Source organism: Homo sapiens, chromosome 20 (genome assembly GCF_000001405.40).
Source record: "Homo sapiens chromosome 20, GRCh38.p14 Primary Assembly".
Classification (NCBI taxonomy): Eukaryota; Metazoa; Chordata; class Mammalia; order Primates; family Hominidae; genus Homo; species Homo sapiens.
Genome location: NC_000020.11, coordinates 51,954,473 through 51,980,880, shown reverse-complemented (window position 1 = coordinate 51,980,880; position 26,408 = coordinate 51,954,473). Strand labels below are relative to the sequence as shown.

Sequence of the window (26,408 nt, the reverse complement as noted above, 5' to 3'; positions counted from 1 at the left end):
ACCTTTTTGACACAAGGGACCAGTTTCGCAGAACACAATTTTTCCACAGACCCGCTGGTAGGGGGATGGTTTTAGGATGATTCAAATATATTACATTTATTGTATACTTTATTTCTATCATTACATTGTAATATATAATGAAATTATTATACAACTCACTGTAATGTAGAATCAGTGGGAGCCCTAAGCTTGTTTTCCTGCAACTAGACAGTCCCATCTGGGAGTGATGGAAGACAGCGACAGATCATCAACAACCTAGTTCCCTCATGTATACAGTTCACAATAGGGTTCGCACTCCTATGAGAATCTAATGTGGCCGCTAATCTGACAGGAGGCGGAGCTCCGGTGGTAATGCGCGCCATAGGGAGTGACTGTAAATACAGAGGAAGCTTTGCTTGCTCACCTGTTGCTCACCTTTTGCTCTGCAGCCTGGTTCCTAACAGGCCATGGACTGGTACCTCTGTTATAAGTAATCTAGAGGCTGGGCACAGTGGCTCACACCTGCAATCCCAGCACTTTGGGAGGCCGAGGCAGGCGAATCACCTGAGGTGAGGAGTTCGAGACCAGCCTGACTAACATGGTAAAACCCCGTCTCTACTAAAAACACAAAAATTAGCTGGGCGTAGTAGTGGGTGCCTGTAATCCCAGCTACTCAGGAGGCTGAGGCAGGAGAATAGCTTGAACCCAGGATGCAGAGGTTGCAGTGAGCTGAGATTGTGCCCTTGCACTCCAGCCTGGGTGACAGAGTGAGACTCCCTCTCTAAATAAATAAATAAATAAGTCTAGAGATGATTTAGAGTATACAGGAGGATGTGTGTAGGTTACATGCAAATACTAGGCCATTTTATAGCAGGGCCTTAAGCATCTGTGCATTTTGGTGTTCACAGGAGACTCCTGAAACCAGTGCCTCATGGATACAGAGGGATGACTGCATATATCAGGGTTTCTCAACCTCAGCACTGCTGACACGTTGGGTTGGATAATTTTTGGTTGTGCATTGTAGGGTGTTTAACAGCATCCCTGGCCCCTGCCCTCTAAATGCCAATAGTAATCCCATCCTCTCCCCTTCCCATCAAGTTGTGAAAACCAAAAATATCTCCAGGCATTGCCAAATGTTTTCTGGAGGTAAAAGCACCCCTGATTGAGACCCTCCAGCTGACATGTAAATATTCTATACATTCCCCCTCACAGATTGGCCCATGGTCTTGGGTTCAGAACCACCAGTATAATCAAACCTCACACGTCACAGGGGAGAAAATCAAAGCCCAGAGTGATTTGCCTATAGTGATTGTCTTTGTTTCCTTGGGTTGCCATAAGAAATAGCCACAAACTGAATGGCTTAAAACAGCAGGAATGTATTCTCTCACAGTTGTGGAGAACAAAAATCCGAAATCAAGGTATCAGCAAGGCCGTGCCCTTTCTGAAACCTCCAGGGGAAAATTCTTCCTCATCTAGTCCAGTTCCTGCTGGCTCCGTGCATTCCTTGACTTGAGGATGCGTCAGTCCAATTTCTGCTTCAGCCTTCACATGGTCTTGCTGTGTGTGTGTGTGTGTGTGTGTGTGTGTCTGTGTGTGTGTGTGTGTCCCTCTTTTTTTTTTTTTTTTGCTTTTTACTTTTTTTTTTTTTTTTTTTGAGACAGAGTCTCCCCTGTCACACAGGCTGGAATACAGTGGCACAATCACAGCTCACTGCAGCCTCGACTTCCCAGACTCAAGTGATTCTTGTGCCTTAGCCTCCCAAGTAGCTGGGACTACAGGAGTGCACCACCATGCCTGGCTAATCTTTTGTAGTTTTTGTACAGACAGGGTTTCGCTATGTTGTTCAGGCTGCCCCAATTTCTAGGCTCAAGCAATCCACCTGCCTCTGTTACAGTCTCACCCAGGCACCACAATGTAGCAGTCTCTCATTGTGAGGTATAACCTGGAGTTCTGTGTTTCACAACCAAGAGAATTAAGGAGCATGGACACAAAGTGCAAGGTTGGAGCAAAAGTTTAATAGCAAAAGAAGAAAGCTCTCCACTGTAAAGAGGGGGCCTGAAAGAGGGTTCCTGGGTTTTTTTTTTTGAGACAAAGTTTTGCTTTTGTTGCACAGGCTGGAGTGCAATGGTGCAATCTTGGCTCACTGCATCCTCTGCCTCCCAGGTTCAAGTGATTTTCCTGCCTCAGCCTCCCAAGTAGCTGAGATTACATGTGCCACCATACCTGGCTAATTTTTTTTTTTTTTTTTTTAGTAGAGACAGGTTTTCTCCATGTTGGTCAGGCTGGTCTTGAACTCCCGACCTCAGGTGATCCACCCACCTCAGCCTCCCAAAGTGCTGGGATTACAGGCATGAGCCACTGCACCTGGCTGGGTTCCTGTTTTTACAGTTGAATGCAAAGGCTTTTATAAGAAGCTGATGAGGAATGGTCATATCATTTGCATAAGGCACGAATTTCTGGTAGCTCCACCCTGTCCTCCTAATGCACCTGCAGGCCCTTAGCTCGAGTTACTCCATATCACTTTGTTCCTCTTACCACACATGTGTCAGGGGACGGCATTTTCATTGTGGGCATGTCTAGGCAAGTCACTTGTGTAGACTTTTTTATCTGTGCAGCTGTGGGCATGTCTTAGGCTGCGGGCACAGATAAGGGAACGTGCACAAGCCCCCCTATGCAAGTTCCCTTATCTGTACCTGCAGCTTGATTTTTCCGGCTGTTCTTTGGTTTGAAAGAATTCAGCTGAGAACCCACCCTAACTGCCTGCCTGACCGGTTTCTTCCTTTCTCCTCTCTCACTTTGGCCTCCCAAAGTGCTGAGATTACAGGCATGAGCCACCACACCCAGCCATGTCTTCTCTTCTTATAAGGACATTTGTCATTGGATTTAGAGTCCATCCAGTTAATCCAGGATATCATCTGAAGATCCTTAACCTTATTACATCTGCAAAGACCTTTTTTTCCAAATAAAGTCACATTCACAGGTATTGAGGATTGGGACTTAGACCTATCTTTTAGGGGACCACAATTCAACCTACTGCCAAGAAGTTATGTGTAAACAGCTCTATAGCATGTTAGTGATAGAGTTAGAATGCAAGCAGGCTGGGCGCAGTGGCTCACACCTGTAATCCCAGAACTTTGGGAGGCCGAGGCGGGTGGATCACGAGGTCAAGAGATAGAGACCATCCTGGCTAACACGGTGAAACCCCGTCTCTACTAAAAATACAAAAAATTAGCCAGGCATGGTGGCGGGCGCCTGTAGTCCCAGCTACTCGGGAGGCTGAGGCAGGAAAATGGCGTGAACCCAGGAGGCAGAGCTTGCAGTGAGCCGAGACTGCGCCACTGCACTCCAGCCTGGGTGACAGAGCAAGATTCCGTCTCAAAAAAAACAAAAAAAATGCAAGCTTAAGTTTTGTGACTTCCAATATTATTACCCACCCTCTCTAAATTTCAATTTCCACATCTGTAAAATGGGCCTAACAAAGAGATCTACCTCATAGAATAGATGGGCTCATAACACCCCAGTTTGTGATCCTAGTTTTACTCAAGAAAGTACTTTGCACAATGGCTGGCTTGTAGCAAGTGCTTCAAAAATGTTAGCTATTTCTGTCATTATTGTTACCATTTTATTATAAGGTCATTCTTTCAACTAAGAAAAAAATAAAATCCCAAGGGAAAGACTGTCTCAAGCTTTAAGTTTATAAACTAGATGGTAACACCAACAATTCAGTTCTCTGGTTGGTTGGTTGGTTGGTTGGGTGGTTGGTTGGTTGGTTGGTTGGTTTTTTTGAGACAGGGTCTCATTCTGTTGCCCAGGTTCAAGTGCAGTGGTGCGATCTTGGCTCACTGCAACCTTCTTCTCTAGGGCTCAAGCGATCCTCCCACCACAGCCTCCTGAGTAGCTGAGACTACAAGGCACACACCACCACACCCAGCTAGTTTTTCTATTTTTAGTAGAGATGGGGTTTCACCATGTTACCCAGGCTGGTCTTGAACTCCTGAGCTCAACCTGACCACCCACCTCAGTCTACCAAAGTGCTGGGATTACAAGTGTGAGCCACGACGCCCAACCCAGTTCTCTATTTTAAACTATCACTTCTCCCTTATCAGGTGGTGTGGCATACGGAACAACCTTTGTAAAGATCTGGTCAAACTTTGAAAGTAAAGTAATGAGAGGAAAGCGTACTTTGTATATTTCTGTTAAGTCTCTGTAAACCAAGAAGACAAGATGGCATTTGTTTGTTTGTTTTTTTAAATAATTAGATTCTGAACTCCTGACATCCATGTCTAGCTACTTTTAAACAGACAGAATGGTCTCAGGAAGAATTTTATCCCAGAAGACAGTAGGTTCAGGCTGGGCGCAGTGGCTCATGCCTGTAATCCCAGCACTTTGGGAGGCCAAGGCAGGTGGATGGATCACTTGAGGTCAGGAGTTCAAGACCAGCCTGGTCAACATGGCTGGTCTTTTCTTTTTAGCTCCCGCATGTGTGTGAGAACGTGCAATATTTGTATCTGCCTTGTCTGTGCCTGGTTTATTTCATTTAGCATAATATCCTCCAGTTCCATTCATGTTGTTGCAAATGACAGAATTTCATGCTTTTTTATTGCTAAATAATATTTCTTTATTTCTTTTTCTTTCTTTTCTTTTTTTTTCTTTTTTTTTTTTTTTGAGACAAAGTCTCCCTCTGTTGCCCAGGCTAGAGAGCAGTGGTGCGATCTCTGCTCACTGCAACCTCAACCTCCTGGGTTCAAGCGATTCTTCTGCCTCAGCCTCCCGAGTAGCTGGGATCACAGGCATGTGCCATCATGTTCGGCCAATTTTTGTATTTTTAGTAGAGATGGGTTTTCACCATGTCGGTCAGGCTCGTCTTGAACTCCTGGCCTCAAGTGATCTGCCTACCTCAGCCTCCCAAAGTGCTGGAATTACAGGCAGGAGCCACTGTGCCTGTCCCCTGAATAACATTTCATATGTAGCACATTTTTTTCACTCATTCATTGATAGACACTTGGGTTGATTCCATATCTTGCTTACTGTGAATAGTTCTCTACTAGCTTTATCAAAAAGTGTAAAAAGTGACAAGTGGACTTAATTTTAATAATATAGACTTTTATGTAACTCAGTAGATCCAAAATATCATCATACATACAAGCAATATAAAAATTATGAATTTGAGGCTGGGCACGGTAGCTCACACCTGTAATCCCAGCACTTTTAGAGGCTGACGTGGGTGGATCACCTGAGGTCAGGAGTTCGAGACCAGCCTGACCAACATGGTGAAAACCCACCTCTACTAAAAATACAAAAAATTAGCTGAGCATGGTGGCACATTCCTGTAATCCCAGCTACTTGGGAGGTTGAGGCAGGAGAATCACTTGAACCCGAGAGGTGGAGGTTGCAGTGAGACGAGATGGTGCCATTGCACTTCAGTCTCAGTGACAAGAGCAAAACTCCATCTCAAAAAAAAAAAAGAAATTATGAATTTGATATTTTGCTTTTTTTTTTTTTTTTTTTTTTGAGACAGAGTTTCGCTCTTGTCCCCCAGGCTGGAGTGCAATGGTGCAATCTCGGCTCACTGCAACCTCCGCCTCCTGGGTTCAAGCTAGTCTCCTGCCTCAGCCTCCCAAGTAGCTGGGATTACAGGCACGCCATCAGGCCCAGCTAATTTTTGTATTTTTAGTAATAATCGCCTCCCAAGTAGCTGGGATTACAGGCGCGCCATCACGCCTGGCTAATTATTTGTATTCACCATGTTGGCCAGGCTGGTCTCAAACTCCTGACCTCAAGTGATCTGCCCGCTTCGGCCTCCCAAAGTGCTAAAACTACAGGCGTGAGGCACTGCGCCCGGCCGAAATCGCCATTTTTATACTAAGTCTTTGAAATTCAGCATGTATGTTACACTCACAACACATCTCTTACATCTTTTTTTTTTTTTTTTTTTTTTTGAGACAGGGTCTTGCTCTGTCACCCAGGCTAGAGTGCAGTGGTGCAGTCTAGGCTCACTGCAACCTCTGGCCCTCAGGCTCAAGTGATCTTCCCACCTAAGCCTTCCAAGTAGCTGGGACCACAGGCAGGCACCACAACACCTGGCGATTTTTTTTTTTTTTGTAGTTTTAGTAGAGACGGGGTTTCACCATGTTGCCCAGGCTGGTCTCGAACTCCTGAGCTCAAGTGATCCACCTGCCTTGGTTTCCCCAAGTTCTGGGATTACAGGTGTGAGTCACTGCCTGCAGCCTCCAGCCTCAGCACACCTCAATCCGGATATGGCACATTTCAGCTGCTCAGTGGCTGTGTTTCCATATTGGAAAGATGGAAACTAGTGGTTTTCCTATTGGACATTACAAGCTAAGAGACGGCCTGTAAGATGGACCTGAAGCTCCCTCCCATTACATTTTTAATTTTTTTTAAATTATAGATTTAAAGCTGTTGGGGATGGGATGCAAAAAAAGAAAGAAGGATTTAAAGGTGTTGATAGATATCACATATCTATGGTGCAAAAGTTTAGCAGGTATAGAATTCTATGTAGCGTAAAGGAAATCTTGCTCCCTCCCTTGTCTTCCGTGCACTGAATTTCTGTCGCCAGAGGCACCCACAGTTCATAGACTCTCAGATTCTCCTGTCTCCATCCAAAGATATTCTAAACCAATACGAGCATATATAAACATACATGCATATCCGTACACACACATATATATATCCATACACATACATATATGTTTATATATATGTTTATATATATATGAAAAATATATATGTTTATATATATGAAAAAATATATATGTTTTTATATATATGAAAAAAATATATATATATATTTTTTTTTTTGCTCTTTTCTAAATTTTTTTTTAGATGGGGTCTCACTCTGTTGGCCAGGCTGGAGTGCAGTGGCACAATCACAGCTCAATGCAGCCTCAAACTCCCTGGACTCAGGTGATCTTCACACCTCAGTCTCCCAAGTAGCTGGGACCACAGGTGCACACCACCATGCCCACCATATTTTTTGTTTGTTTGTTTGTTTTGTGGGGTTTTTTGTAGAGACATAGTTTCGCTATGTTGCCCAGTCTGGTCTCAAACTTCCAGGCTCAAGCAGTCTGCCCACCTCGGCCTCCCAAAGTGCTAGGATTACAGGCATTAGCCACTGTGCTCAGCCCTATCTTTTACTGCCTTTTTTTTTTTTTTTTTGAGACGGAGTCTCACTCTGTCACCAGGCTGGAGTGCAGTGGTGCAATCTTGGCTCACTGCAACCTCCGCCTCCCAGGTTCAAGTGATTGTCCTGCCTCAGCCTCCTGAGTAGCTGAGACTACAGGCGCCCACCACCACACCCGGCTAATTTTTTGTATTTTTAGTAGAGACGGGGTTTCACCATGTTGGCCAGGATGGTCTCGATCTCTTGACCTCATGATCCACCCGCCTTGGCCTCCCAAAGTGCTGGGATTACAGGCGTGAGCCACTGCGCCTGGCCTCTTTTACTGTCTTTTGTACTCAGTATGGGAGCATGCTATACACACTGTTCTACACTGTGATTTTTCTCACCTAAGACTGACCCTGCTACTTATTAGCTGTGTATCATTGGGCAAATTACTACCCTTTTTTGTACCTCAGTTTCCTCATCTGTGAAGTGAAGGTGACAATATACCCAAATATCTACTTCAGCATTCATGAGATAATTGAGTAATGAAACACACAAGACTTAAAATAAAATAATGCCCAGCACACTCAACTGTTAGACTTTTTTGTTTCTTTTTTTTTTTAAGACAAGGTCTCACTCTGTTGCTCAGGCTGAGTACAGTGGGGCAGTCATGGCTTGCTGCAGCCACACCCTCCTGGGCTCAAGCAGTCCTCCCACCTCAGCCTCCCAGGTAGCTGGGACTGCAGGCATGTGCCACTACAGCTGGCTAATTTTTGTATTTTTAGTAGAGACTGGGTTACACCTCGTTGCCCAGGCTGGCCTCAAACTCTTGGGCTCAAGTGATCCTCCCACCTCAGCCTCACAAAGTGCTGAAATTGCAGGCGTGCGCCATTGCACCTAGCCAATGTTAGACTCCTTTTTTTTTTTTTTTTTTTCCTGAGACTGAGTCTCACTCTATCTCCCAGGCTGGCTCACTGCAACCGCTGCCTCCCGGGTTCAAGAGATTCTCTTGCCTCAGCCTCCCAAGTAGCTGGAATTACAGGCGGGCGCCACCATGCCTGGCTAATTTTTTTGTACTTTTAGTAGAGACAGGGTTTCATGATGTTGGCCAGGTTGGTCTCGAACTCCTGACCTCAGGTGATCCACCCACCTCGGCCTCCCAAAGTGCTGTGATTACAGGTGTGAGCCACCACAACCGGCTTCAATGTTAGACTTTTATTAGCCACAGAATATTGCATTGTATCTCTCTACTGTAACTGATTGAAACAGTCCCCTTTTAATGGACATTTAGTTTGTTCTCAGCTCCACAACTTAATCTTTTTGCTCCTACAAATAATGTTTCAATGGCTAGCTTTGTGCAGATATCATTTCAACCCCATGCAAGTGCACCAGAGGAGAAATCCAGAATTGGAATTTCTATGTCTGAGAATATGGGCGTGTCTCATTTTGGTCTCACTGCCAAATTCCCTTCCCAGGAGACTATGGCAGTTGACAATCATACCTACTATGTAGGGAGCCTGCCTGTGTCCCACGGCCTCGCCCTCACAGGGTACATGCACATGTGGTTTTCTCTGCCAGGCCACTGCACATGGACAACGATACAGCCCCGTGGTTTCCACTTGTCTTTCTCTCCCCTTAGCAAGGATGGGCATCTTTTCCTATGTCTAAGGGCTGCTCGGATTTCCTTTCCTGGGAATCTTTGCTCATTTTTCTTTTGGATTATTGGGCTAAGTCTTTTTTAATCCTTGTCTTTTCTGCCAGCCTTCCCAACCTCTCTCTACAGACCACCTGGCTGCCATTCCCCCACATCCCTCACGGCAGTAATCCGGACTTACTTTTTGTTGTCATCCTGAGCTGTAATGTCCATCTCATATTGTCAAGATGTCACACAGGAATAGCATATGTCCTTGGTCAAAACATAAGTGCTCCAGGGCAGACGTGGGCTTGAGGACTGAGTCCTGAGCAGACGTAGCACTGAGCCTTGTATCAGACAGGCATTGCGTGACTATTTCTCAAATTTGTTTTGAAAAAGAAAATCAGTGGTAAATAGTTATAAAAAAGAGATCATCGCTCTTACTTGCCACGCTTATTTTTTCAAGCTATTAAAATGATTAAATGTATCACATCATTATAATTATCAAATTATTAACAATTATTAAAATTAAATCTATTGCATTTCTGTAACTAAATTATTAAAATTTAAGCACAATAGGAGGAAATATTTTCTCTCCCCAAAGAAAGACACTTTAAACAGTTTGTCAAACACTTTTAAGATTTTACCTATGGGCCAGGTGCGGTGGCTCACGCCTGTAATCCCAGCGCTTTAGGAGGCTGAGGTGGCCAGATCACGAGGTCAGGAGTTCGAGACTAGCCTGGCCAACGTGGTGAAACCTTGTCTCTACTAAAAATACAAAAATTAGCTGGGCATGTTGGCACACGCCTGTAACCCTAGCTACTCAGGAGGCTGAGGCAGCAGAATTGCTTGAGCCCGGGAAGCGGAGGTTACAGTGAGCTGAGATCGCACCACTGCACTCTAGCCTGGGTGGCAGAGCGAGAGTCCATCTCAAACAACAAAAACAAACAAAAGTTTTTACCTATGATTTTACAAACTTACATATTAAAAAGCATGAGGATGTGCGTGTGTATAAGCACATGGAAAGACAGAAACGTAGTTTTGGGAAGCTGTTAGCAACAAATCAGACTTTACATTTTGTTCTTCGATTGGCAATTTCGCAATTTTACCTCGATCATTCAAAAAATATCATGCGCCTACTATGTGCCAGGGACTATGTTTTCTTGTTTCATTGTGTGGTTATCTTTTGTTTTTGTTTTTTAGTGAGTGTTTTCCGTGATCAAGCAAGTTTGGGAGGCCAGGCGAGGTGGCTCAGGCCTGTAATCCCAGCACTTGGGGTGGCCGAGACGGGTGGATCACTTGAGGTCAGGAGTTTGAGACCAGCCTGGCCAACATGGTGAAACCCCGTCTCTACTAAGAATACAAAAATTAGCCAGGCGTGGTGGTGCACACCTGTAATTCCAGCTGTTTGGGAGGCTGAGGCAGGAGAATTGCTTGAATGTAGGAGGCAGAGGTTGCACTGAGTAAAGATTATGCCATTGCACTCCAGCCTGGGTGACAGAGCAAAACTCCATCTGAAAAAAAAAAAAAAAAGAAAGAAAAAACGAAAGTTTGGGAAACAGTGAGATGATCACAGAATCCTGGGTTTGGGATAAACTTTCAGATTTCTGTCCCTGTCTCCAAACAGAGCATCCAACCTATCTAAGTCAGTCTGGCTAAAGTTATAATTTAAAAGGCTTCCCATGAAAGGAACTTTACTGCGATCTTCAGCATTTCTCCTGATGTTCACTGAGCTCTGCGCTCTTTGGAAGAAATTTATATAACAGACAATAATAAATGATGCAGTAAAGTGCTCATAGCATGAACCTGTATTGAAGAAGTAAAACCTAGTGAGGTGTTAAATTTAGGAGACAGGTTAGGATCAAAGCCTCTGGGTCCCCATAGTGGTTGCCTCTGCTCCTCCAGGTGTGTGACTCTGCTATAGAAGACATTTAGCCCCCTCTAAGCCTTTGTTTTCAAAGGAGTTCATTCTAAAAGCCAGTGTATAGAGGAAAATTTTGAGTATGGTCAAAAATGACCTTGCATATCTTTTCTATTATAGTATCACCATCAGGGACTGGACAGAGCTCAAGACCAGAAAATGCACGTGTGCCTCGTCTCTTACCTGCAAGAGTGCACATGGTGGCCCAGATAATTTAAATCAGTCTTCTTTTTCTCTGTCTCCGTTTTCTCTCCACACAACTGGTAGAAATCAGGTAGATTCAATGCATCTATTGGTGACTGCACTTGAATAACCATGCTGTAGGTTTTTCTAATTATTAAATATATAATTCATGCAAAGCAACTAGTTCCATGCCTGGCATGCAGTAAGCCCCTGATAAATGTTGACTTTCCTTATTATCACCATCACTACTACTCCTCTATGAGAAAAGTGTTTTTTTTCTTTTTCTTTTTCTTTTTTTTTTGCGGGGGGGCGGGACGGAGTTTCGCTCTTGTTGCCCAGGCTGGAGTGCAATGCCATGATATTGGCTCACCGCAGCCTCCACCTCCCTGGTTCAAGTGATTCTCCTGCCTCAGCCTCCCGAGTAGCTGGGATTACAGGCGTGCACCACCATGTCTGGCTAATTTTGTATTTTCAGTAGAGACGGGGTTTCTCCATGTTGGTCAGGCTGGTCTCGAACTCCCAACCTTGATCCGCCCTCCTCAGCCACCCAAAGTGCTGGGATTAAAGGCATGAGCCACCACTCCCGGCCAAGAAGTGTTTTTTTCTTTTGAAGAGATTATTTATGCCAGATTTCATGTCTCATTCTGAGTTGAGTCACCCAAGGCCACTCTCAGCAAAACTGCAGACCTGTAATTTTGCCTTCATTCCATGAGTAGTTCCATGGCACAGTCACTGGCACACGGGGGGTGATCAAAAACACTTGTTAAGTGAATTATAAAACCTCTGGCTCAGGCCAGGTGTGGTGGCTCACACCTGTAATCCCAGCACTTTGGCAGGCCAAGGTAGGAGGATCACGCGAGCTCAGGAGTTCAAGACCAGCCTGGTTAACATAGTGACACGCCATCTCTGCAAAATAAAAAAGAAAAGAAAGAAAAAAAATCAGCTGGGCGTGGTAGCACATGCCTGTGGTCCCAGCTACTTAGGAGGCTGAGGTGGGAGGATCGCTTAAGCCCAGGAGGTCGAGGCTGCAGTGAGCCGATATCGTGCCACTGCACTCCAACTTGAGCGACAGAGTGAGGCCCTGTCTCAAAAACAAAACACGCCTGGTGCAGTGGCTCATGCCTGTAATCCCAGCACTCTGGGAGGCCAAGGCGGGCAGATCACAAGGTCAGGAGATTGAGACCATCCTGGCTAACACGATGAAACCCCATCTCTACTAAAAATACAAAAAAATCAGCTGGGCATGGTGGCAGGCACCTGTGAGCCAAGATCGCGCCACTGCACTCCAGCCTGGGCGACAGTGCAGTGCAGTTTGAGACTCCGTCTCAAAACAAAAAACTGAAAAAAAAAAACAAAACCTCTGGCTCAAAGGTAAGAAGGGCAAAACAAAGGAAGAGTATCTGACAGTAGCACTTGCCTATAACTGTCAAGATTCATTTTAGTGAGTCCAGTGTTGAATTAGTCCACTGGCTTCTGCTTTTCAATAAGTCCATACACTCTTTCATTTATTCTCTATATATTTTGTACATTCTTGTCCTGTACCAGGCTCTGTGCTAGGCCTGGAGGTGCAGTGGTGAACAAGACAGGCAAGGGCGCTTAAAGTCTCCTGGGAGAGAAAGCAGTAAACAAGTACAATCCAAAAGATGCTTTCCGACTTCTGTGCTTGGGAAGGGAAATAGACAGAAGGGAAGGGAAATAGACAGATGGGATAGTCAGTGACTGAAGGGAAAACCAACTTATATAGGGATTCAGCAAAGTCCTCCCCAGAAGAGACATCGGAGCTGAGATCTGGGATAACTAAAATGTAAATATCCAGTAACAGTAAAATTAAAATTGTTCAATATGTCGTATAGCCTAAAGTGGACCTGCCATTTTCATTCTTCCCTTTAAAGAAAAAGCATTTCATTCCCATCAGGATGGCATAGCAGTTAAAATCCGAAAGTACCAGGTTCTAGAGAGAACGTGAACAGAAGGAAACCCTTATAAACTGCTATTTGGGAGTAGAAATTGGCAGACCTCTTTGGAGAACAATTGGTGATATCTAGTTGAAGCTGAAGGTGTGAATTTCCCACGACCCAACAATTCTATGTCTAGGTATGTTCTTTAAACCCTTAAAAATATCTCCTCCTAGGCTGGGCATGGTGGCTCACACCTGTAATCCCAATACTTTGGGAGGCCGAGAGGCCGAGGCGGGCAGATCACCTGAGGTCAGGAGTTCGAGACCAGCCTGATCAACAGGGAGAAACCCAGGCTCTACTAAAAATACAAAATTAGCCTGGCATGGTGGCGCATGCCTGTAATCCCAGCTACTCAGGAGGCTGAGGCAGGAGAATCGCTTGAACCTGGGAGGTGGAGGTTTTGGTGAGCTGAGATCGATCGCGCCATTGCACTCCAGCCTGGGCAACAAGAGCGAAAGTCCGGGCCGGGCGCGGTGGCTCACGCCTGTAATCCCAGCACTTTGGGAGGCCGAGGCGGGTGGATCACGAGGTCAGGAGATCGAGACCATCCTGGCTAACACGGTGAAACCCCGTCTCTACTAAAAATACAAAAAAATAGCCGGGCGAGGTGGCGGGCGCCTGTAGTCCCAGCTACTCGGGAGGCTGAGGCAGGAGAATGGCGTGAACCCCAGGGGGCGGAGCCTGCAGTGAGCCGAGATTGCGCCACTGCACTCCAGCCTGGGCGACAGCGAGACTCCGTCTCAAAAAAAAAAAAAAAAAAAAAAGAGCGAAAGTCCGTCACAAAAAAAAAAAAAAAAAAAAAAAAAAAAATCTCCAAGAGAAGTAAGGGAAGATTTAAAGTAAAACTACAAAGCAAAAGTACTTCATTCAACAAATATTTCCAGAATGCCTACATGTGACAGGCATGCATAAACGCTCTAAGAAAACCATGCTGAACGAAACCATGAAAGACTATGCCCTCCAGACAAACTGGGAAAGATACACAGTAAACAAAAGTCCAAACACTCATTATCTACTTAATGTATACCCAGTTTGTGGTCCTAGTTTTCTGCAAGAAGAAACTGAGTCTTAGAGAAATTGTCATTTGCCCAAGGTGAGCCCACCAGTGAGATGATGAACATGCCAGCCCAAGAACTTACTCCCCAGGACTCCACCTGTGCCAAGTCCAGCTTCCCCGCCATGGGAGTCTGTGAGGAAGGGAGGTGCGAGTTTCCCTTTATGCGGGGTACCTACTGCATGGCTCATACATAGTGCACCGTTTGGGGGTGGGAGTGGGAAGTGGACAGGATTGAAGAACTATCCAGAACTAAAACCTGCATAAAAGATGAGGAGTAGACTTCCAGATTATCTACCCAAGTATGGGAGTAGAATCCACGGAGCCGGCATCATTGACAAGGGAAATGGGAAGAAGGAAGGCTCCTTTCCCCAGGCCAGGGATGCCTTAAGTGGCTCCCTGACTTTTTAGCTTTCATCCTCTACACAAGATCCACATCAAGGCTCCAGAACACTCTTAGCTAGGGACATAACCAAGGAAGACAAAACCCTGGCAAATGGCTACCATAAGGGGGCAGTAAGGAGAGAAGTAAAGCCAGGCTGACCAGAACCGAAATGAGGTGTCCCCTGGTTAGGAAGTCCTGGCATCAAGGTTGGGAGGAGCACGGCATCACCCCACCCAGAGGCCTGGCAAGCCTCCCACTCCTGGGGACAGAATGACCTCATGGGGACACTTTACTTTTGATGTATAATTTTCTAACAGGAAAGTTTAAAAATACAGAAAGTAGAAAAAAAAATACAATGAGCAGCTTTGTAACCTTCTTTTAAAATAACAACTGTTAACATTTCTTTTTTTTTTGAGATGGAGTCTCGCTCTGTTGCCCAGGCTGGAGTGCAGTGGCACAATCTCAGCTCACTGCAACCTCCGCCTCCCAACTTCTAGCAATTCTCCTGCCTCAGCCTCCTGAGTGGCTGGAATTACAGGCGCACACCGCCATGCCCGGCTAATTTTTTGTATTTTAGTAGAGACAGGGCTTCCCTGTGTTGCCCAGGCTGGTCTCAAACTCCTGAGCTCAGGCAATCCACCCGTCTCGGCCTCCCAAAGTACTAGGATTACAGGCGCGAGCCACCGCGCCCAGCCACAACTGTTAACATTTCATATTAGCTTTTTTTTGAGACGGAGTCTCACTCTGTCGCCCAGGCTGGAATGCAGTGGCACGATCTCCGCTCACTGCAACAACTCCCAGGTTCAAGCGATCCTCCTGCCTCAGCCTCCCGAGTAGCTGGGAATACAGGCATGTGCCACCACACCTGGTTAATTTTTGTAGTTTTAGTAGAGATGGGGTTTTATCATCTCAGTCAGGCTAATCTCAAACTCCTGACCTAAAGTGATGTGCCAGCCTCAGTCTCCCAAAGTGCTGGGATTACAGGCATGAACCACCGCACCTGGCCGAACGTTTCATATTAGCTTTAGGACATTTTCTGTTTAAATTTTTTTCAGATGGTTATTTCCTTTTATTTCCATCTTTCTTTATATTTGACCCTGTTTTTCTTCTTACTGCATTTTGAAGTAAATGTTAGCTTATTTATTTTATTTTTTATTTTTTTTTTTGAGACAGAGTCTTGCTCTGTCACCCAGGCTGGAGTGCAGTGGCGCGATCTCGGCTCACTGCAAGCTCTGCCTTCCAGGTTCATGCCATTCTCCTGCCTCAGCCTCCTGAGTAGCAGGGACTACAGGTGCCCGCCACCACGCCCAGCTAATTTTTTGTATTTTTTAGTAGTGACGGGCTTTCACTGTGGTCTCGATCTCCTGACCTCATGATCTGCCCGCCTCGGCCTCCCAAAGTGCTGGGATTACAGGCGTGAGCCACTGTGCCCGGCAGCTTATTTATTTTTAATCCTTCTTTCCTACATTTGAAGCTATACATTATCCTTTTTATCACTGTAGGTGCATCTTGCTTTTTTTGTTTTTGTTTTTGAGACGGAGTTTCACTCTTGTCACCCAGGCTTCAGTGCAATGGCTCCATCTCGGCTCACTGCAACCTCTGCCTCCCGGGTTCAAGCAATTCTCCTGCCTCAGCCTTCCAAGTAGCTGGGATTACAGGCAAGCACCACCATGCCCAGCTAATTTTGTATTTTTAGTAGAGATGGAGTTTCACCATGTTGGTCAGGCTGGTCTCAAACTCCTGACTTCAGGTTATCCACCCACCTCAGCTTCCCAAAGTGCTGGGATTACATGCGTGAGCCACCACACCCAGCCATCCCACATTTTTTAAAAAAGAAAACTTCTGCTTACATACAAGCATGTTTAATTGTGCAATTTTCATAGATACATAAAGTGGATATATCATACATATTTTTAAAATACCACCATTATTTAATTTTCTTCTTTTTTAAAAAAAATTCTACCAACTTTTCCCTTTCTATCATAATAATCCTACCTCTTACCCAGCCTCTCTCCTCCCTCAACAATACTTAATGGAAATTCCTTTAAGACAATTTTTCCAGTTTTATCTCATTTTACTTAATATCTATATAATATTCCATGGTGTGAATGTGTCAGGATTCTTTCCTTTTGTTTCTAGAGGTTTTTTGTTGGTTTTGTTTTTGTGTTTGCTACCATTAACAATACTGTAATACACACCTTTGAGTATTTGAAACAAAAAATCCCAGGTGTCAGAGGAGAAGAAAGTTGTTCACAGTGGCCACTGTGGCAGGTATGATGAGAAGCCCAGGAATGGTGACCTCAGCTAGCCAGGTTGGCTTTCTGTCCTGCCTCCCAGGATTTCTTAAACAAGGAGGCCAGATCAGATAAATGCTAGGGTATCTCTTAGCTGACTGAACCTTTTCTAATCAAATCATTCGTTCAGGCCAGACACAGTGGCTCACACCTGTAATCCCAGCACTTTGGGAGGCCTAGGCAGGCGGATCACTTGAGGTCAGTAGTTCAAGACCAGCCTGGCCGACATGGTGAAACCCCATCTACTAAAAATACAAAAATTAGCTGGGCGTGGTGGCGGGTGCCTGTAGTCCCAGCTAGTCCGGAGGCTGAGGCACTAGAATTGCTCAAACCCAGGAGGCAGAGGCTGCAGTGAGCCGAGATGGCACCACTGCACTCCAGCCTGGGTGATAGAGCAAGATTCTGTCTCAAAAAAAAAAAAAAAAAAAAAATTTGTTCACTCATGCACCCACCCAGCAGAAACTGAATACCTGCGATGTGTAGACACTAACCTAGACACTTTGAACTTGACCGAGAAGAGGGTGGAAAAGACTCTGGCTCTTAGGCAGCTAACATTCTGTTGGGGAGAAGCAAATGATGAATGCACAGATAAATGATATCCACTCTATGCTATTAAAAGGGCTAGAATTTGGAAGATGATGGTGAAGATCTCTTTAAACAGGTGACATTTACGCTGAGCTGTGGACCTGGCCAGTAATCAAATCTGAAATTGTTTTCTATGTATTAGTGATTCTCATAACTTTAAATTTGTATGTGTTCCTATGCATTCATAGTTATTTCTGATTTTGAGAATCAGCGGAGGGCACTTTTGCAATGAGTCTAATTACTAGACCTTCAGGATCTGAGCCTGTATGTAAATTGGAAGCAAATATCTGTTTTCTGAAAATTCACCAGGTGAGTCTGATCCATAGTTGGCCTTGGTAGTAACTTTATTATGGGAGTGTCAGAGAGCAGGTGTGAGCCCCCAGACATCCAGTGAAAAGACTAGGGAGAAGGTGGGTGAGGATTTGAATTGAAAAGGCTCTTTGTGCCAGCTGCAACGGCTCATGATTGTAATCCCAGCACTTTGGGAGGCCGAGATGGGCAGATCACCTGAGGTCAAGAGTTCAAGACCAGCCTGGCCAACATGGTGAAACCCCATCTCTACTAAAAATACAAAAATTAGCCAGGCATGGTGGTACATGCCTGTAATCCCAGCTACTTGGGAGGCTGAGGCAGGAGAATCGCTTGAACCCAGGAAGTGGAGGTTGCAGCGAACTGAGATCGCGCGGCTGCACTCCAGCCTGGGCAACAAGAGCAAAACTCCATCTCCAAAAAAAAAAGAAAGAAAAAAGAAACCGCTCTCTGGGGGGACTTTCTCCCCTTGCCCCTCAGACCCTCTGCCTTTCAAAATCTTAAACTGCAAAGAGAAATATCACAGAGGCCCCACACCCACACCCCAGGAAACCTCCCAGGACTTTTTCTACGGCTTGACTTATTTGATGTGAAGTAGATATATAACAAACAGTAGTGGTCTGCCGGAACGCCAGCAGAAAGAAAAATCTAGAATTGCAAATGTAAAACTCCCGCCTTCCGACAAAGATTATGCTGATGAAACTGAAAGCTCAAACACAAGCAGAAATGATCAGATACGGGAATATCCATGAAGGAAAATGCCAGGGGCAAGTCACACGAGCCATCCCCCATCCCCTATTATTATTCTGGGAATAATAATACCTTCCTCAAAGAGATGTCCTGAGGATTAAAAATAAGACCGTTTTTCATGTCAGGCACTGAGCAACCCCTCCATGCTTAGGGAGGGCTTAACCCAGGTTCGTCTAGTTCCCTTCCCCCAAGCAAATTCCTCCTCCAACGTTTCCAATCTGTCCGAGAAATCCCTGTGGTTACTGTGTACATTATCTGGATATTTAGCTAGTAGGCTTACCCAGGTGGCATATTGTAACTTTACTCCGACAATTTGGAAAAACAAACAGAGCAGTTCTGACCTTTTCCACTGGTTTTGCTTCTGCATCCCCTCAAAGCCTGCCCATTCGATAGGATCCTATTTAAAGATGATAGTCTTTAAACTGGGAAGTTCCAAACTGCACATGGGGTGCGGGTTTGGCCAAGAGGTTCCTTTTTTGTTTTACCACCTTAAAATGCTAACTTTGCTAATGGCCGAGATTGATTATATAAATGTTCTTGCTTTTGTTTGCACTTATCTGATCTTGTCCTATCAAGGGGCTTAATCTCACTCTTACTGGAAATTACAATTTAGTCCATTTTAGGATGGCCCCAATCTTTCACAGCTGTTTAAAGGCTGTGTTGTGAAAACAACCCAAAATGGTACTAGGTTTGTTCTGGTTACACAACTGTGGGGAGGTGGGAAGTGAAGCGTGTTTGAAAGTCACTCATTTAAATGTCCTCATGAAATATATATATTTATTTATATTTATATATTTATATAAATTTCATGAAATATATAAATTTATATATAATATAAATCTATAATATGTATATACTATATAAATATATATAATATATAAATATAATATATAATATATAAATATAATATATAAATATAATATATAATATATAATATATAATATAAAATATATAAATATAATATAATATATTATATATTATATATTATATATTATAAATATATAAATATAATATATAATATATAATATAAATATATAAATATAATATAATATAATATATAATGTATAAATATAATGCATGATATATAAATATTATATATAATATACAAATAAATTTGTATATATTTATATTTATATGCAAAGGATTTGCTTCAAGTGATATGTTTGGATCATATGGAAATTTGCCGAACAGAATTTTTGTGTGAGCATCTACACCTCAATCCTCCTTTGAGAGAAACTTTGAGATCTTTGAGACCCTTTGAAAGCTCCTTTGAGACCCATTCCTGGACCTCCGAAAGCTTATTGGATATTTCTGCTGAGTATGAGAGTGACTGACACAGGTACTTTATTAAACATTTTGAAAAGGGCTATATTAAGAAGGAAATAAAAATCCACCTCTTGTCCAACTCCTGGTTAGCACTCAGGTGTGTTTCCTTCTAGCCTTTTCTCAATGACCTGCAATCAGGATTTTCAACCTTCAGCCCTGCGCCTAAGGCTGCCATCCCTGCTTGTAGCCTATCTGCTCATGTTTTGTCTGTGTTCACAAGCCCCGCTCAAATTGCTGTTTTAGAAAAATCTAGGGCTGGCTGCGATGACTCACGCCTGTAATCCCAGCACTTTGGGAGGCTGAGGTGGGCGGATCACAAGGTCAGGAGTTTGAGACCAGCCTGGCCAACATGGTGAAACCCCATCTCTACTAAAAATACAAAAATCAGCCAGTCATGTGCCTGTAATCCCAGATACTAGGGAGGCTGAGGCAGGAGAATCGCTTGAACCTGGGAGGCGGAGGTTGCACTGAGCCGAGACTGGGCCATTGCACTCCAGCCTGGGTGACAGAGTGAGACTCTGTCTCAAAAATAAATAAATAAATAAATAAAAGAAAAATCTAAAATGTTCTTGAGGGAAGGTTGGGGGAAGGGAGGAGGGAGGAATGAATCATTTAGAGAAGCAACTGCAAACGGAGAAGAGCTTTATTTTTGCTTCATAATTGATAGCATGTCTCCCTTCTCCACTACCCCCCAAAAAGACCCTCCTCCCTCTATTCCACCTTCCCAAGGCACTTCACGCTTTTTGTACCTGGGATGAAAAGGGAGGGGAATTTACTGCCCTTCGTGGAAATGTCCGGGGTCAAATTATATACTCTCATGGTAGAGAGAGGGGAATGGGAGTTGGGGCAGTATGGTTTTGACAATTCCTAGCCAGGCTTTAGCCCTGGCTGACTCGCTTGCGTCACGATAATACAATTTTGTATGTTAAACAACAGATGTCAAACAGAAGAAAGAGACGGGGCTTCGCTTTTCTTCTCCTGTGGACCTTGTTCCCCCCAAAGCAGCCATTTTTTCAGTTGCCATGACAGTGGTAATAGGAGTTTATCATTTTCCCATGCCTGCTGCATGCTAATGTGGAATCAATTCATGACTCTTATCTGGTTGGGCTACCAAGGGATCCCAACCACACACAATCTGGGTTTGTGCAGCGGTAGAGAGGGCACCATGGCCTTTTCGCCCTCCTCACAATCCTCAGCTCCCAGTTTATAGAGCAATTTATGTAAAGCAGAAGTTTTTATTTGCCTATTAAAATACCAGTTACAATCAGCCTCAGAACTACTGAAGGTCTATGCACGTATTGACAAAGCAGGTTTATCGTTGCCTCTTGTGAAAAGAAGTCATAAAGAACAAAGATCACCTAGACAGAAATCATACATAATATCTAGAAATCATATATGTATTATATAACAATTTCACTCTTACGTCTTAACGCTAATCTAACTTTCAAAACAAGACCCATTTACACAGAGCAGGGAAAGAAAGCTCCTTTGAGAAACTTGACTAAAACTGAGAAAATCATATTTTTATAAGAAGAACACCTTCTTTTAGTGAACAAAGGTGATACAGAAATCAAGAAAAATCACATTTGAAAAAACTCAGAATGAAGGAAATGTATTCTTTAAAAATGAACAGGAAGGAAAAATAGAAAAATTGTTAAACCCTGATGGTAGATACACGAATGTTCCTTACGGTATTCCTGGTACTTTTCTGTATATTTGAAATATTTTATATTCCTAAAAAATGTATGAGTCAAAATCTTTCAGTTTGGCTTTTAATTAACAATGTTTAAGCCACAGCCAAATGAAGAAAAAAGAAGAAACAGAAGAAACGATGTAGCAGGGTAGAAGCAAAATTAAACCCCAAAGTGATTTATAGCGTACTTAGGTTTATTTCCCTCTTAATTTCTAACAGAATGTGGCAGTGCTTGTCAGCTGATGTTTGCTTTTTTTTTTTCCTTCCTAATCTCTTAAAAAAAAAAGTGTGTATCAAGTAACCACCAAAATGATTACTTCAATTGTGGGTAGAGTTTATTCTCCAGAATAGAAAAACCAGTTGCTTTTATTTGCATTGTCCTCCTTATTTTTTAGGCATCTGGCACATTTTATTCCTTTTTTGTTATTTTGAGTTGTTCCTTTATCATTATCTGCAGGAAGCAGCATTAGCATGCCGCAGATAAGACCACAGATCCAGATGTGCATATCAAAGGATGAACAGCTACTTATTAAGAAAAACTTTTCTTTTTAAGCCCAGCTTCTGTTCAAAGGAATAATAAAGCCTATGGCGTTAGTGACAAACTGGTAATTCAATGCCTTGTCACCGCCATGCATTGGAATGGAAAAAAAGGAGGGGGAGGTCAAAGAAATTGGTAAGGTCCACATTTTAGAAAGCTGAAAAGGCAGAACTAGTGTAAAAGTTCATCTTCTCCAGATGCATGCATTTATATCCTGCTGTGTTTATACACTTTTTTTTTTTCTGGGGGAAATGAAAGAGCCACAAAAATGGGCTGGCTGCTACGATTAAGGATGGATTCCGAATCACCAAAGTTATTTTTAGAAGAATGAAATATGTTTCCATTGAAAGCATCTGATTTCACCATCGACCTCTGGTTCCTTTGTGCTTGAAAATATACTTAATAACACCAGCCGTGCATATCTGTAAAAGAGTCGACACTGAGAGTTTGCAAAGTAAATCTAAATGTCTCTTGCACTGTTTCTCTGTTTCTAACATTAGGCCACTCCCCTCTTGCTAGGATGTGTGTGTGTCTTCTGTGTCTCTTGCAGGAATTTACATCCATAAATGCACATATCTACACACATACATGCAAAAATGCATATCTATACACATATATTGCCGTGGTTTTTTTTTAATTAATGCTGTCATACCATAATGACAATCATGTACTTCTTTTATCTCACTCAGCTATTAGACTTGCCAGTCTTTCCAAACTGATACATATAAGTCCGCCTCATTCTTTTTTATTTATACATAGTAGTCCATGGATGGATATATCATGATATATACAACCACTTCTCTTTTAGTGGCCATTTAAGGTTTTTCAAATTTTTCACGATTGCCAACAATGATGCAATACGTGCCTTCATTCAGGTATTTTTGTGAGCTGGTCCTCTCTGGTGATTTATTACTTTTGTTTCATTCTCTCTGTTATCAATAAAGATTTCTTTAAGTCTCTGGGAAAACTTATGCATCTATATTCTTAAGCCTAAAATAAATTAGATTTAGAAATGTCAGTCTCTAACTTTTTCCTTAGACGTAAGATTTCAGAAAACGGTCACATGTAAATTCATTCTGAGGCTCTGCCTTTGTTCTTGGGTTCCTAAACTGAGTTTTATTACTGACTAAAAAATGACTTCGACTGAAGTAATATTTACAAGGATTCTTTTAAAAGTAGTTATCTGAATCTTAAGTCTGTGAAACTAGCATTGGAGTTTTTTTAAAAACATGATTAGCAACAAAAGAAAAAATAAATTAATAAATAAAAATAAAAAATAAGAAAAATTTACCCGTTTGGTAAATAAGCAACAACGAAGTGAAGAAATTTTGCCCAGGGCATAGGCCTACTAAATTAATTTTACTATAAAAATGATAGTGGTAGGCCGGGCACAGTGGCTCATACCTATAATCCCAGCACTTTGGGAGGCCTAGGTGGGAGGATCACCTGAGGTCAGGAGTTCGAGACCAGCCTGGCCAACATGGTGAAACCCCGTCTCTATTAAAAATACAAAAATTAGTCAGGCACGGTGGCATGCGCCTACAATCCCAGGTCTACTCAGCAAGCTGAGGCATGAGAATTGCTTAAACCCAGGAGGTGGAGGTTACAGTGAGTCAAGATCACACCACTGCATTCCAGCCTGGGCGACAGAGCGAGACTCTGTCTCGAAAAATAAATAAAATTTTTAAAATGAGGCCGGGCACGGCGGCTCATGCCTGTAATCCCAGCACATTGGGAGGCTGAGGCAGGCGGATCACCTGAGGTCAAGAGATCAAGACCATCCTGGCCAACATGGTGAAACCCCGTCTCTACTAAAAACACAAAAATTAGCTGGGCATGTTGGCACATGCCTATAATCCCAGCTACTCAGGAGGCTGAGGCAGGAGAATTGCTTGAACCTGGGAGGTGGAGGTTGCAGTGAGGGGAGATGGTGCCACTGCACTATAGCCTGGGCAACAGAGTGAGACACCATCTCAAAAAGAAAAAAATGATAGTGGTTTAAATCCTATCAGCATATACAAAGGGATCTATACTATGACATTATTTATGATAGTAGAAAAAATAGAAATGCCTAAATAGTCACCATGAGAGGTTTCCTTAAAAATTTATGGTATGTGGCCAGGCGCGGTGGCTCATGCCTGTAATCCCAGCAGTTTGATAGGCCGAGGTGGGTTGATCATGAGGTCAAGAGTTCGAGACTAGCCTGACCAACATGGTGAAACCTTGTCTCTACTAAAAATACAAAAATTAGCTGGGCATGGTGGCATATGCCTGTAATCTCAGCTACTCAGGAGGCTGAGGCAGGAGAATTGTTTGAACTGGGGAGGCGGAGGTTGCAGTGAGCAGAGATCGCACCATTGCACTCCAGCCTGGGCAACAGAGCGAGACTGTGTCTCAAAAAAAAAAAAAAAAATTTATGGTACGTGCAAAGGATAAAATACCACTAAAATAAAATGAAGGAGCAGATATTCTGACAGGAAATGCATCGGTTGCATTGCCAATTGAAAAGACAAATTGCCTGGGCTCAAGTGGTGCATGCCTCTTCCCAGGTACTCAGGAGGCTGAGGCAAGAGGATTGCCTGAGCCCAGGATTTTAAGATCAGCCTGGGCAATGTAGCGAAAGCCCCATCTCAAAAAATAAAAAATTAAAAAATAAGGTTAATTGTAAATCTACATGTGTTATGTAATCTAACCATGAAGATGGTTAAAGTGGTGAGGAGTGGATGGAAGATGAGGGGCTCCTATTAATAAGAGTTATCTCCGAGGTATGGAAGGACTAAGGAAAAGAAGAGGCATGGTCAGACATGGTGGCTCACACCTGTAATCCCAGCACTTTGGGAGGCCGAGGTGGGCGGGTCACGAGGTCAGGAGTTCAAGACCAGCCTGGCCAATGTGGTGGAAAACCCGTTTATACTGAAAACACAAAAATTAGCCGGGCATGGTGCCGTGCGCCTGTAATCCCAGCTACTCGGGAGGCTGAGGCAGGAGAATTGCTTGAACCCAGGAGGTGGAGGTTGCAGTGAGCTGAGATCGCGCCACTACACTCCACCCTGGGTGACAGAGCAACAGTCCATCTCAAAAAAAAAAAAAAAGAGGCGTTAGGTATTTCAATATTTTCATACTAGTTAACTTATTTGTATGTGTGTGTGTTGGAAATATTTCAAATCTTTTCTTGTGGCTGTTTTGAAATACACAATACATTCTTGTTAACTACAGTCACCCTACTGTGCTATAGAACACTAGAACTTACTCCTTCTATCTGATTATGTGCTTGCATCCATTAACCATCCTCTCTTCATCCCCAACCCCCTAGTTAACTGATTTACAGTGGCATGTACATATTTTCCCATTAAAAAAATCATTATTGTCAGCTGTCTCAAAGATTGGAAAGATAGGCTTCTTATAAAAATTTAACCAGTTTATTTTTTAAAAGAATATTTATAAGGTAGTATACAATTATCTTACATCCTTATTATTTAACTTTTCATGGGTGTATATCCACATGGTTCAAAAGTCTAAAACTAGGCCTGGTGAGATGGCTCATGCCTGTAATCCCAGCACTTTGGGAGGCTGAGGCAGATGGATATCCTGAGGTCAGGAGTTCGAGACCAGCCTGGCCAACATAGTGAAACCCCGTCTCTACTAAAAATACAAAAAAATTAGCTGGGCATGGTGGCATGTGCCTGTAGTCTCAGCTACTAGGGAGGCTGAGGCAGGAGAATCACTTGAACCAGGGAGGTGGAGATTGCAGTGAGCCAAGATTGCGCCATTGCACTCTAGCCTGGGCAACAGAGCGAGACTCCGCCTAAAAACAAAAAAAAAACAAAAAAAAAAAACCATAGAGACATTAACAAGGAAAAAATATTCATGAAAGTCTCATGATGGTAGAAGTCTTGATCCACGATCTTAGGAAAAGCTGTTCACATCAAGGATGCCATCTTCTTCTGGGGAGACTTCCTTGGTTAGCTTTACCTTAAAGGTTCCAATGGGTGTACAGTTCCAAGAGTGTGGAGGGACCCTTTTCATTTGCGAGATTATGAACGCAAGGTTCAAGATCCTGAAGTTTTCTTGCAGTGTGGATGGCAAGGACAGTCTTTCTCTGATGTTCTCAGAAGATCCAATCTTCGGGTTCTACATTGTGAAGGGGTTGACTATTCTCAGTGAAACATGAAAAGCTTTCTTTACCTGATGAAAATGCAGGACAGTATAATAATCGACTGTTATAACATCAGCCCTCTTGCATGGGAGAGCTTTTATACAACCAGAAAATATGCACTAAAAGTGACAATTGAGAGCTGGGCACGGTAGCTCATGCCTGTAATCTCAGCACTTTGGGAGGCCAAGTTGGACGGATCACCTGAGGTCAGGAGTTCGAGACAAGCCTGACCAACATGGTGAAACCCCGTCTCTACTAAAAATGAAAAAATTAGCTGGGTGTGGTGGCACACACCTGTAGTCCCAGCTACTTGGGAGGCTGAGGCAGGAGAATCAATTGAACCCAAGAGGCAGAGGCTGCAGTGAGCTGAGATCGTGCCACTGCATTCCAGCCTGGGTGACAGAAACTCTGTCTCAACAAAAAAACGAAAATGACAATTAGGCCAGGCGCAGTGGCTCACGCCTGTAATCCCAGCATCTGGGAGGCCAAGATGGGTGGATCACCTGAGGTCAGGGGTTCGA

At 43.4% G+C, this 26,408-nt stretch overlaps 5 annotated features.

Moving 5' to 3' along the window:
• Window positions 11,352-11,851: an enhancer, noted in NCBI's record as "H3K27ac hESC enhancer chr20:50585569-50586068 (GRCh37/hg19 assembly coordinates)". NCBI's record gives its function as "activates a minimal SCP1, AML or CMV promoter by ChIP-STARR-seq in naive H9 embryonic stem cells {active_cell/tissue: H9 hESC(naive)}" and the evidence as "EXISTENCE:reporter gene assay evidence [ECO:0000049][PMID:30033119]".
• Window positions 11,852-12,353: an enhancer, noted in NCBI's record as "H3K27ac hESC enhancer chr20:50585067-50585568 (GRCh37/hg19 assembly coordinates)". NCBI's record gives its function as "activates a minimal SCP1, AML or CMV promoter by ChIP-STARR-seq in naive H9 embryonic stem cells {active_cell/tissue: H9 hESC(naive)}" and the evidence as "EXISTENCE:reporter gene assay evidence [ECO:0000049][PMID:30033119]".
• Window positions 19,325-20,157: an enhancer, noted in NCBI's record as "H3K27ac hESC enhancer chr20:50577263-50578095 (GRCh37/hg19 assembly coordinates)". NCBI's record gives its function as "activates a minimal SCP1, AML or CMV promoter by ChIP-STARR-seq in primed H9 embryonic stem cells {active_cell/tissue: H9 hESC(primed)}" and the evidence as "EXISTENCE:reporter gene assay evidence [ECO:0000049][PMID:30033119]".
• Window positions 20,158-20,992: an enhancer, noted in NCBI's record as "H3K27ac hESC enhancer chr20:50576428-50577262 (GRCh37/hg19 assembly coordinates)". NCBI's record gives its function as "activates a minimal SCP1, AML or CMV promoter by ChIP-STARR-seq in primed H9 embryonic stem cells {active_cell/tissue: H9 hESC(primed)}" and the evidence as "EXISTENCE:reporter gene assay evidence [ECO:0000049][PMID:30033119]".
• Window positions 23,410-23,917: an enhancer, noted in NCBI's record as "H3K27ac hESC enhancer chr20:50573503-50574010 (GRCh37/hg19 assembly coordinates)". NCBI's record gives its function as "activates a minimal SCP1, AML or CMV promoter by ChIP-STARR-seq in primed H9 embryonic stem cells {active_cell/tissue: H9 hESC(primed)}" and the evidence as "EXISTENCE:reporter gene assay evidence [ECO:0000049][PMID:30033119]".